This window comes from Homo sapiens, chromosome 10, assembly GCF_000001405.40.
Source record: "Homo sapiens chromosome 10, GRCh38.p14 Primary Assembly".
Taxonomy (NCBI): Eukaryota; Metazoa; Chordata; class Mammalia; order Primates; family Hominidae; genus Homo; species Homo sapiens.
Genome location: NC_000010.11, coordinates 17,679,363 through 17,692,764, shown reverse-complemented (window position 1 = coordinate 17,692,764; position 13,402 = coordinate 17,679,363). Strand labels below are relative to the sequence as shown.

The 13,402-nt window shown below is 36.7% G+C and overlaps 1 protein-coding gene across 10 annotated transcripts in view, besides 1 other annotated feature; it reads right to left on the bottom strand.

Annotated features, from left to right (window-relative positions):
- STAM (signal transducing adaptor molecule) overlaps positions 1-13,402 on the bottom strand; it is a 72,674-nt gene that overhangs the window by 24,060 nt on the left and 35,212 nt on the right. For 4 of the 10 annotated variants that reach the window (NM_001324284.2, NM_003473.4, NM_001324283.2 and 1 more), the window contains 3 exons: positions 8,015-8,090; positions 7,838-7,933; positions 4,592-4,738 (listed from right to left, as the gene is read on the bottom strand). In NM_001324284.2, the coding sequence (NP_001311213.1) occupies positions 4,592-4,738; positions 7,838-7,933; positions 8,015-8,065 (294 nt within the window). In that variant the 5' untranslated portion in view covers positions 8,066-8,090. Of the gene's footprint in view, positions 1-2,530; positions 2,674-4,591; positions 4,739-7,837; positions 7,934-8,014; positions 8,091-11,753; positions 11,866-13,402 lie in introns of all 10 variants that reach the window. The other 6 variants (NM_001324288.2, NM_001324289.2, NM_001324287.2 and 3 more) reach the window with 4 other exon arrangements.
- Positions 5,442-5,942: an enhancer, noted in NCBI's record as "H3K4me1 hESC enhancer chr10:17728822-17729322 (GRCh37/hg19 assembly coordinates)". NCBI's record gives its function as "activates a minimal SCP1, AML or CMV promoter by ChIP-STARR-seq in naive H9 embryonic stem cells {active_cell/tissue: H9 hESC(naive)}" and the evidence as "EXISTENCE:reporter gene assay evidence [ECO:0000049][PMID:30033119]".

Sequence of the window (13,402 nt, the reverse complement as noted above, 5' to 3'; positions counted from 1 at the left end):
AACTCAGATATATATATAAAACGATATAAATGCTCAAAAATCCTATTTTGTAAACCAAATTACAAGTAGTTAATTCTGACAGTATATCACTGCCTCTATTAAATTGTGTAAATAAGGGAATACACAACAAACATATAATTCAATTCACACTTCTGGAATTACAAGCTTCTAAGCCTATGGGCTCTGTGGCCTCTCAGTTTTTGCATAGCATTCAAGGCAAATCAGAATTTAGCCTATCTTACCAACCTCATTTCCAACCATTCTGCCAGTTACCAGAAACTGCTAGCAGTTCCTGAGCAGTCTCTATACCGGTACTTTACAGGTCTCACACTCATTTACTTCTACTTACAACGTTCTCCCCCTATGGCTCCTTTGCTCCGTTCACTTTTTCCCTTTTGAGTTTGAACACATCAGTCAGTAATCAGCTAAAATATCACTGTCAATGAAGCATCCCTCAACCTGTTAATTACACATTCTCTTGTTTGTTATTATGATAACACCTTTAAACAAGGTACTGCGATATGAGTGGTTAAGAATGTAAGTTGTGGAGTCAGACAGACATGAGTTCAAATCCCAGATCTACCACTTTCTAGCTGGATGACACTGGGCAAATTAGCCTCTTGGTGCCTCAAATTCCTCATCAATAAAATGACTACGATAATAGCACCTACACCTCATGGGCACCTCACAGCCTATTTAAAGTATTAAATTAACACATGTGATTCCAAAATCAGATGAGATGGGCTCATTCAGGGTTTAAAACAAAAAGTATGTAACATTACCTCCGGGGCTTATAACGTATGTAGAGGTAATACACATGACAACTACAGTGTAAACAGACCTCTACAGATGCAAAGTTGCTATATTTTACATCAAATATTAACTCAAAGTAGATCATGAAAAGTTATGAATGTATATTGTCATTCCCAGGGCAAACAATTTAAAAATGAAATTCTAAAACACATTCAAATTGCCACATGTACAGCACTTAGAACACTGACTGGAACATTGTAACAGGCAATAATCTCAGCTTCTGTTATAATTGTCTGATTACATGTCTGTCTCCACAACCAGACTGTATGTTCCCTGAGGGAATGTGCCTAAATATTACAAGCAATCAATCAATGTTTGTTGAGGGTATGAAAGGAAAAATATTCAACATTATAATAAAATACAGTTCTACATTCCTCACTTAACTGGATTTCGTGTTGTCAAACAAATGCACAGGCATTTATTTATTTATTTATTTATTTGAGTCTCGCTCTGTCGCCCAGGCTGGAGTACAGTGGCGAGATCTTGGCTCACTGCAAGCTCCGCCTCCCGGGTTCACACCATTCTCCTGCCTCAGCCTCCTGAGTAGCTGGGACTACAGGCACCTGCCACTACGCCTGGCTAATTTTTTGTATTTTTAGTAGAGACAGGTTTTCACCATGTTAGCCAGGATGGTCTCGATCTCCTGACCTCGTGACCCACCCGCCTCGGCCTCCCAAAGTGCTAGGATTACAGGCGTGAGCCACCGCGCCCGGCCAGGCATTTATTTTTAGAAGAGCTGAGAAGAAAAAAACTTTTTGGTGTTCACAGAATACAACTTTAAACACTCTCAATTCTGACCTATCTCTAGTTGCAATTTTCTTTAGATAATGTTTTAATTATCAGACACTTCTGAAAACTACAGGTATGCCTGGTCAGAAATAAGTTTTACGGTTTACATAAATTTTTGTTCACAATTTGGCAAACTTCACAATTAGACAGATTTGAACTTTTATGGTGTGTGAAGAAATCTCTACCAGTAGAGAAGCGCAGAAATAAGCTATGTGAAGCCGCATGTTTCTGAACTGCACTTTTTATTCAAAGTTCCTTTCTATCATCAGGTTCTAAATGTAACAATAACACTTGTCTTATTAAGCAGCCAACTACGGTAGCGGTGCTGCTAGCCTACTTCTATCTTTACATCAAAAGTTAGTGCTAACAGAACTGCATCAGTATGAGTCAGGTGACTTTATCACTTTTCTTAATATTTTTACATTATTTTCTTCTGTACTCAGATGAAAAAAATATACTTAGAAAAATATATCTTCAGAGGTTTTTGTTAAGTATGCCCTAACAAAAATCTAGTCTGATGAAAACACAGTAATAACTTAAGTAACTAAGTGGCTTTAAAATCTACAGGGAGTTCTGCAGTTGAACTTAGATGATTTATTTTTTTCATTTAATGTGAAGCTCTTTACATGTAGGGTTTCTAATAAGCTTTTCAGAAACCACTAAAAAAATCATTCTACCTCATCATATTTTACTTTATATGTATTTCTTGTAGGTGAAATATAGCCACTATGACAAGATTAGCTGTTACATACTTTATAACATCTAGATCAAAGGATGAAAATTAAGTCCTATCTTTACTATTGCTCTTCTATGTCCTGAATTTCTTGAACAAGAGAATAAGCTAGTTTCTCTACCAATCAAGACATAATGCTCTTGCCAGCATTCACTCCACTGGAAGCCTGGTCTAGACAGACACATATTCACTAACCTCTCTAACAAAGAAGGCAGACTCGGGCAGCGAAAAGAACACTGGACTGAGAATCAGCATGCCTGTGTTCTAGTTCCAGCTGTCAACTATGAGCTGTGTCCCTGGGCAAGTCACTTAACCATTCTGAGTCTCAGTTTCCTCATCTGTAAAAATGAGCGGATTAGATTAGAGGCTCCCTAAAACTGTTTCCGTGGCTAAGATTCTAGATTAACCAAACAAGGGTACATATGGCACAATCATTAATTCTTCCTTTTCTTACAAGAGTAAGTCCCTTTGTGGACTGAAACGCAGTTTTCACTTGCACTGAAGGCTGTCCTCTAGAGCAGCAGTGCTTCTCAGACCTCAACGTGCATATAAATCCTCTGAAGATCTTGTTAAAATGGAGATAATGAACCCATAGGTCTGGAGTGGGTTCAACCATGCTGCATTTCTAACAAGCCTCCAGGTAATGCCAGTGATGCTGGTCAAACCAAGTTTTGAGTTAACAAGAACCAAAGACTCTAGATATTTAGTGGGCTTGCATTTTCTCTACCTATTCTAGGTGGGTTCTCTGCAGTGAGTCTACTCTTTGATAAATAAACATTGTTTCTGTTGTCAAGGAATGTATAATGTCTTGGATTATTCTGTTTAAGATTTTTCCTTAATTATACAGATTCTAGAAACTATACTGAGTAGTAAAAACCAGCTATCAGTTATGAATGAATGAATTTTCAAAGACATAATTTTTTTAAGAAAATTTTAAACCAAAATTTTTTTAAGAAGAAGAATGTCCTTTGCTTCCTTCCTCTCCCAGATACATTTTTGAGTCTTCACATCTCAAGAGTGCTCAGATAAACTGGAAATGCCTTGGGAAGAAAGCACATGTAGGTCTGGATGAATGTAGATAAGCTACATGACTCCCTGAAGTGGTCAAAACATAAGCCCCTCCACACTCACAGATTTCTGTTCATGGTTTCACATCACTCATTACAGTCTGTCCCAGTCAATAAACTGGGGAAAGACAGTGTAGTAAATCAGCACATATTTTAAGCCTCTTGATTAGTTGGGCATCCTAAAGGAAGGTTACCCAAAATAGAAATAGGAATAAAAAAGACATTTCTTGATTTTTTTCTACATGACATAAATTAGAGACTGAATTTTTTTGGCACAAGGGTGGACAGGAGAGCAAAGTTAAGCTATTTAGCCATATCCACTGGGGAAAGGAAGACTTATGTACTGGTCGGCTCTTACTAAGGAGAAAATGCTTCAGGTGCTTCTCTTCCCATTTACCCCTTCTAAAGTCCTCTCATTGTTAATAGAGGAATTCATAAATTTCCTCCACAAAAGAATCTCTCAAGTCATCCCTAACTTTTAAGGATATCCTGATTTCTGAGCTATCATTCTTTGTAGAAAATTATAGCATTAAGAGCATTTAAAAAGACAGTGTTACCTAATTAATAAAGCTATTTTGTGTATATTATTAAAACTGTACTGGCTGGGCCTGGTGGCTCACACCTGTAATCCTAGCACTTTGGGAGGCCGAGGCGGGCAGAACACCTGAGGTCAGGAGTTCGAAACCAGCCTGGCCAACATGGTGAAACCCACCTCTATTTAAAAAAAAAAAAAATTTCCAGGTCTGGCTGCACGTGCATGTAGTCCCAGCTACTCAGGAGGCTGCGGCAGGAGAATCACCTGAACCCAGGAGGCAGAGGTGGCAGTGAGCCGAGATCACGCTACTGCACTCTACCCAGGGCGACAAACAAAGACTCCGTCTCAAAAACAAACAAACAAAAACTATACCAAAAAATTTCAAAAACTGCAAAATGTTAAACCAATTCGTTTATAAAGAAGTAGAGAGGTTAGAGCACATTAATATTCCATTATAATACTTTTCTGGCACCTCTGAATGCCAGAAAACTAGTATTACTAACTAGCAATACAACTAGTTACTAACACAATTAGCTAACGAAAATTCCTCTGAAGTAGTAAAAATTACCTGGGAATGAAGAAAAAAATTCAAATAAATATAGCTATTTAAGAGAAACAAACTGTAGCACACACACAACTTCATTCCCAAAATACCTGAGAGCCAATAGCTGGGAACGTAACTCCTTGTTCCTTAAGGTTCTTAATCATTGCTGATATTAGACTAAGCTGTGGATCATTCTTAAATTCATCTGTCCATTCAACCATAAGAGCCTTTAATTTTTCACATACTTTAGGATGACCCTGTAAAATAGAAAAAGAAATAAAAGAGCACCAATTTCCTAGCCAATGATTTAATACAGACATTTTAAATAGTAAAGTTATTAAGTGATGTTTTTTGAATCACAAGTTATGCATAGCTATAGACAAGAAAATATAGTTATTCGAAATAAAACTAATGTTCACACTATGAAAAAACCCATCATATATATCTCACTTCAAATTAAAGCATTAAATAGGTAATAAGATTTTGGAGATCTGAAAGGACTTTTCAGAATATTTTGCAACGAAGCAAGGTTTGTACATCAGTAAGACAAGGAAAAGTGTCTGCTTTTTGCAAAGCAATAAAAAAGTGGGAAGGAGAGAATAAATGATACAGTTCCTTTATTCCAAATTCCTGACTTCTTAATGTTCATGACTATGCATTTTTTCCATGATGCTTAATTATCTGGGGCCTAGTTTGAGGTACACTGCATGTTAATCATTTTGAAAATTTAATTTCTTCAAAATAACATAACTTTTTTTCCTTTCTTTTCTTTTCTTTTTTTTTGGTTTGTTTTTTGAGACAGAGTCTCACCCTGTGGCAGAAGCCGGACTGCAGTGGCTCGATCTCAGCACACTGCAACCTCCGCCTCCCAGAGGGGGGTGGGGGATGCGGTTCAAGCGATTCTCTTGTGTCAACCTCCCGAGTAGGATTACAGGCGCGCACCACCATGCCCAGCTAATTTTTGTACTTTTAGCAGACGCGGGGTTTTACCATGTTGGCCAGGCTGGTCTTGAACTCCTGACCCCAACTGATTCGCCCGCCTCAGCCTCCCAAAGTGCTGCGATTACAGGCATGAGCCACCGTGCCCAGCCCAAAATAACATAACTCTTTATGGTTGATGTATAACAAAGATTCAAGTTAGTCTAAGGCAGGTGTGCAGGGCATTATTCTTCCGTATTAAAGAAAGAGATAAATGTAGTGAGTTTTCAAAATAAATTATTTTACTCATTGCTTATTAAGGGAAAAAACCTGGCCAGTTCATTAAAATACTGATGTATCTTCATAGCGGCAATAATTTGAAGTCTTACTATTTGATGTAATAGATATAAAGAAACCTTCACAGATACCAGAGAAGAAATAACTCCTCTATGAAATGTCATGAATGTATTTCAAACCAATGCTTACTAAATAATTGGCTAAAGCTTTTAAAAATGGAGAAGGTTAGACTTTTAGATTACTCTATTAGAAGAAAAAAAATTCTTTCTAAGTGCACATGTAATCTGTATTTTGGTCAAGGAGCATATAATGGATTTGCAAACGCTTTATTGAGACTATACATGAACTTAATTTGTTTAATAAAAGGAAATTTTTTAAAAGGGCAGGATGTTGGCTGGGCGCGGTGGCTCATGCCTGTAATCCCAGCACTTTGGAAGGCCGAGGTGGGCAATCACAAGGTCAGGAGTTCGAGACTGGCCTGACCATCCCCATGGTGAAACCCCATCTCTGCTAACACTACAAAAACCAGCCAGGCGTGGTGGCGCATGCCTGTATTCCCAGCTACTCAGGAGGCTGAGGCAGGAGAATCACTTGAACCCGGGAGGCAGAGGCTATAGTCAGCTGAGATCACGCCACTGTACTCCAGCCTGGGTGACAAAGAGAGACACTGTCTCAAAAAAAAAAAAAAAAGGCGGGATGTTATTAAGTACAAAACCAATATGTTCACTGTAAAACATTCAGAAAATAAAGAGAAGTCCTCTTGCCTATAGGAAGTCGTTTTTGGAAATGGCTGCTTGCACTATTATACATAGGTAAGTATACCACATTTTTCACCTACATTACAAAAAACATGGTATTAGAATCTCTTCATAAACAGTTGTAATCTCGATGGACATTCAGGACATTAAAAGACAATGTTTATTAATTAGTAGAAAATAAATATTAACTGCATAAAGCAGGAAAGGGAAAGAATTATCATTTAACCATGATGTTCGAAAAGTACAGAATTTTACATTCTTACTATATTTCTATACTGCTATTTTTCTACTGTAACCTGGAACTATTCATTTTTCCCAAAAACATGAGGCATTTTCCCTTTTAACATACAAAAACTTTTTCTTGATTTACAGTACTCCCCCTAAAAAGGCCAAAAATAATTACTTTTAGAATGCACAAATTTTTACTGGGGAAACTCACATATTACTAATTGAAAATTGAAAAATTTCTTGAACTGTGTGACTAGAATTCTACAGTTGAGTGGGCAGTTGTAGGGTCCCCAGTTCTCCCTGCTTTCTTTCTGTGTCCCAATAGAAAAACAGAGTGCCTTGTCCCGCTCTGTGACCTAGCCAGCTGCATGTTTTCCACCATAGGTTTGGACCCAAACTGGGGCCTTGAACATTCTCAGGCACTGATAAAGTTGTTCAGGTTGTGGCCCAAAACACTAAAAGATCAAGTATGTTGCTAAACACACAGAAACCAGCCCCAACCCTGAGCCAAATTCCTTAAACCCTCCTATAAACTGCAGCCCTCCTGTGTAAGTTCCCCTAATAAATCCTTTAGACTGATCACCCTGGCATTTAGTGCCTCTTTTTTTGGACTCTCATCTGGCCCTATCTGGAACAGTTTGGGGCAGTCCCTTGTGGAAACTCCCCCGCCACCACTTTTGAGGCAACTCCAGCTGTGGGTTCAGCCAGTAAGAATAGCAGTATAGTATTAAAATCCTGTGATGGCCAGGAAGCAGCCTTATTGATAAAGATAAAAACTCAACGGTGCCATAGACTTTTTGCAGTGTTTCTGAAAGGTTTTCCATTAGGAAAATACCTTGTGCCTACAAAAACAGTATGTAAAATAGACTGATATTATTTAATTAGATATAGAAATACCTGTTTTCTTATCAGATGAAAGTATGATGGAAAAGAACAGGTTAAAAACACTCTAATATGGCTTGAAAAAACTAACTCAAAGTTACATGAATCCGCAGTCTCTTCAACAAAACATAATATTTATTTATATACTGGATAGACACAGCCTAGAAAGGATTTCTTAAAAAGCACAGAATAGTCCTCTGTGAAGATTTAAACAATAAAATATGTGAAGAAAGAAGACTGCCTTAATTAATTTCTGGAAATAATGCTCCTTACCTTATTTAATACGTTGCTTACTTCACTAGCAAAATCTCTTGAACATACTTCTAAATGAAAAATTTTGCCACAGTTTGATACACATGCTCCTAGAAGCTAAAAGCACAAAATCAGAAGTTAAAGGGGCTCAATTGTGGCAGGTAATTTCGTGGTACAGATTAAAATGAAACCACTCACAGTCAAAGCCTGCATAGCAACGTGAGGATCTTTGTGGTTCACTCTTCTCATAATAGACCGAAGACAATCCTTAGGTCTAAAAAAATGAGAAAAGTAAAAATTACTTAATAATACATCTAGCTTCCCCCTGCCCCTTAACTGTTATAGACAAAAGACTACGATAAAAAGGGAGACTATGATAAAGTAGGGAAATTTAATTTTTATTAATAACACGGTTGAAAAACTGTAAACTAGTTCCTTTAAATTTTTCAAACAAAATTAACAGGCTCTCTTATTAGTAATCGTAGATGAGGCATTTCAGGCTAATTCTGGGTAGGAAAAAAAAAAAGGTTTGAAAATAAAATGGTAGGCCATGACTTCCACTTCCAGCCAGGGTGGAAAAACAGACCAGACTTACACTCCCGTTGTAAACAATTAGAAAACTGGAAAAACAGATTTTCCACACTGAGGTTAACTTTTTAAAGACATGAGGCCACAGGCAGTACTGAATGATAATATCCAAGAAGGAAAATGAATTAGATAAGCCAGAAGTTTGCCTCAACTTTCTGCCTAGAGGCACTTTCCAAGTATCAGTGAAGACCTTCTGAAAAACCCACGCATGCACAGGTGAAAAACTCCATGAAACTGGTCAAAAAGTGACCGAGGGCGATATGCTAAAGAGATCCAACGCTCACACAGTCGTCAGAGATGAGGCCACAGTGAAGCATCTATTGAAAATCCAGAGGATTCAGTGGATATACAGGGGAGTTTAGACCCTAGCAATGCAGCTCAATCATACCTACATACTGCCTAACAACATAAGCCACAGACGAATGTAACCACTTCTGAAAAAATAAAGTCCAATACTCCTTAACAGGAATACAACACCTGATGCTCAAAAATATAAAATTCAAAGTACTAAGCATTCAATAAAATGATATGAAGACATGATATGAAGAAGAAAACTACCATACACAACTAGCAGAAAATTCAGTCAACTGAGAATGCAGAAATAACAAAGATGATGAAATTAGCAGTCAAGGACTTTATATAAGCTATTATAAGCATGCTGGAAATCATCCACATAATGATGAAGAAATATATTAAAAAGGGCCCAGATAAAAGTCTAGAGACAAAAAAATATGTAAAATTAAAAAGTGGATGGAATTAATCAGGTAAGAATGAAAGATCAGTAAATTTGAAAATATGCTGAAAGTACCCAAACTGAAGTACAGAGAGAAAAAAAATGAAAAAATTTAACACAGAGCCACCACTACAAATATTTTTAAGAGAAAAATGAAAATAAAATAGCTTGGGTGCAGCAGCTCACACCTATAATTCCAGCATTTTGGGAGGCCGAGGTGGGCAGATGGCTTGAGTCCGGAAGTTTGGGACCAGCCTGGGCAACACTGTGAAACCCTATCTCTACAAAAAATAATACAAAAATTAGCCAGAAATGGTCCCAGCTCCTATGGGCGCAGTGAATGGCCTGAGGTGGGAGGTTCACTTGAGCCCCAGAGGTCGAGGATGCAGTGAGCTGTGATGGCACCACCGTACTCCATCCTGAGAGACAGAGTGAGACCCTGTCTCAAAACAAAGTTTTAAATCAAAAAAATAAAACCATAAAAACCATTTGATTGATACACAAAAGACAGAAAGAGAAAACAGAAGAAACATAACCAATCATCTAGAAAAATGGCAGATTAAGATTGTAATCCAACTACACTTTTATCTATTCACTACCGTTAGCAGTTTTCATAACAAGGAATACTAACAGGGATAAAGAGAGACAGTACATAATAATAAAACGGTTAAGTCCCCCAAGGAAACATAATTCTAAATGTGCATGAACACAAAAATAGAACTTCAAAATATATAAAGGAAACATCGATACAGCCGAAAGGAAACACAGACAAATCTACTGGAAACTTCAACATGCCCCCTCAATGACTTGATAACACAAGAAAAAAAAGTACTGATATGGAATACCTGAATGACACTATCATGAAACTTGACCTGACTGGCATTACACAACAATCCACCCACCCATGGCATTATACACATTTTTTTTCATGTGCATGGAAAATTCAACAAAATGGACTACATTCTGTCCTATAAAACAAACACTGATAAATTTAAAAGGACTAAAGTCATACAAAGTACATTCTTTGACCATAACAAAATTAAACTACAAATTGATAACAAAATGATAGCATAAAAATACCCAAATATTTGGAAATCAAATAACAAATATCTAAGGCTTACAACAAATGAAATCACAGAACCATAATTTCCCTTAAGGACATGAAAATGAAAGCATACTACCCAGTACTCTTTATAAGAATGTTCACAGAGGCTCTGTTCAGAGTCAAAACCTGGATACAATCCAAATGCCCATCAACAGATGAATGGATAAATTGTAATATATTAACACAATGTAATACCTCTTCCCCAAGAAACAGGAATATTGATACATACAAAAATTTGAATTCATCTTAGAAACACATTTAGTGCTAGACACAGGAGTACTGACAATACTATTTCATTTTATGAAATTCTAGAAAAGGAAATTTAATCTATAGTGACAATGCATATTAGTACTTGCATAAGGTGGAAGGAACTTTTGGGAGTGATTAAATGCTATCTTGGTTGGGGTGATACTTATATAGGTATATATATTTGTCAAAACTCATCAAACTATCAAACCATACACATACAAGGGATGCTCTTTGTTGTAGATAAATCACAGGTCAGTAAAAACAGATCTATTTAAATGACAGGCCAAGAATGTAGCAAACATGCATTTCATGGGGATGCTTTATGGTAATTAATGATAATAGTAAAGCAGAGTAATCATTCATATAACCTACGAAACATCATGTGCTTAGGCTCTCAAAAATTATATAATAAGCAAAGGACTCATTCAGTGTTCAAAACATTCACAGCAAACCAAGTCCTCCATTTACTGAAGTTCAGTTCCTTGCCCATGATGCCAGTTACCAGGCAGTAATAGGCACTAACAAGATTCATACCTGTCACTTAAACATGCTATGTTCTGGACACAGATATGCCTCCCAATAAATTCAGATAACATAAACAGGGAGCTCTTTATATAAGTCAAAAGGATAGCCTCAAAATATTAAATCATCAGATTAAAATGACATATATTTTCCTCTAATAACACAATACATTATCAACATCTATAAATTATTTGAACTAGAAATAATACAATATATTATTCTCAAGGGCATATGGATATTACACATGATAAACAATGTTAAGCCATAAAACAAGTCTCTACAGATTTAAAAAGATAAAAAATCATAGAAAGCATGTTCTCCAAAGACAGAATAAAATCTGAAAGAACAAAGAAATATAGAAAATTAAAATACGTGAAAATCAACATCCTCCTAAATAGCCAATGGGTCAATGAAAAAAATCACAGGGGAAATTAGAAAATACTTTGAGATTAATGAAAAGGAAAACATAACCCAAGAAAACTTAAGGGTGTAGTAAAACGGTGAGAAGGTAATTTATACCTATAAGCACCTACATTAAAAAAAAAAAAAAAAAAGACGATCTCAATACCACCTCACACCCATCAGGATGGCTACTATAAAGAAAAACAGAAAAAATGGTAAGTGTTGACAAAGATGTGGAGAAATTGAAACACTTGTGCACTGTTGGTGGGAATGTAAAACGCTACAGGTGCTGTGTAAAACAGTATACTGGTTCCTCGAATAATTAAAAATAGAATTACCATATGCTCCAGCAATTCCACTTCCAGGTATATACCCCAAAGGACTGAAAGCAGGCAGGGTCTGGAGGAGATAGTGGTATACCCGTGTTCATAGCAGCATTATTCACAATAGCTAAAAGGCAGAAGCAACCCAAGTGTCCACAGACGCATAAATGGATAAGCAAAATGTGGTACATACATACATGGAATACGCTATAACAGGGATGAACTTTAAAGCCATTACGCTAAGTGAAATAAGCTGGTCACAACAGGACAAATGCTGTATGATGCCCCTTAGATGAGGTACTAAGAGTAGTCAAAATCAAGGCCGGGCACAGTGACTTGCACCTATAATTCCAGCACTTTGGGAGATGAAGGTGGAAGGATTGCTCCAGCCAAGGAGTGTGAGACCAGCCTGGGCAATATAGTGGGACCCTGTCTCTACAAGAAATTTTTAAAATTATCTAGGCATGATGGCACACACTTGTAGTCCCAGCTATTCGAGAGGCTGAGGTGGAAGGATCACTTGCTGCAGTGAGCCACGATTGCGCCACTGAACTCCAGCCTGGGTGACAGAGTAAGACCATATCTCCAAAAAAAGAAAAAAAAAAAAAAAGAGTAGTCAAAATCATAGACAGAAAGTAGAATGGTGGTTGCCAGGGGGCCTGGGGAGCAGCGAATGGGGAGTTATTGTTTAATTGTTTAATGGGTATACAGTTTCAGTTTTAAAGAGTTCTGGAGGTAGATGGGGACTAGAGTTCACAACATTATGCAGGTATTTAATACCATTAAGATGGTAAATTTTATGCTATGTTTATTTTGCTACAATCTAAAGAATTGGGGAAAAAGATCTCAAATCAATAACCTAAGATTATACCTTAAGAAACGAGGAAAAAGAGCAAGGAAACCCAAAGCAAGCAAAGGAGAAGGAGGGAAACAATAAAGAGAGGCAATAAATAAAACAGACAACAGAAACACAATCAAGAAAAGCCAATGAACACAAGTTTTTTTTTAAAGGATCAACAAAACTGAAAAACCTTTGGTTAGACTGGCCAAGAAAGAAAGGTGACTCAATTTATTAGAATCAAAAAACAAAGAGGGAACATTACTCTCAACCTCACTGAAATAAAAAGGATTTTAAAAGACCCTATGAACAACTTTATGCCAACAAATTGGATAACCTAGTTAAAATGGACAAATTCCTACAAAGACAGGAAACTACCGAAACTAACTCTATGATATGCTTAGCTGTTGAAAGAAAAAAAGAAAAAAGAAAAGAAACTGACTTAAGAAGAAACAGAAAATCTGAATAGACCTATGTAACAAGTAAAAAGACTAAATTACTGATTAAGAAAACTTCCCACGAAGAAAATCTCAGAAACAGAAAGCTTCACTGGTGAATTCTACCAAATGTTTAAAAATTAACATCAACACTTCATTTAAAAAAAAAAAACACACGCAAATTAAACATCAAAATTAAAAGTTTTTGTGCATTAAGGGATACCATCAATAAAGAAAAGTCAACCCACAGAATGGGAGAAAATATTTCCAAATCATATATATGACAAGAGATTAACAGCCAGAATATATAAAGAACTCCTACATCTCAACAACGAACAACAACCCAATTCAAAAATGGGCAAAGGACTTGAATAGACATTTCTCCAAGT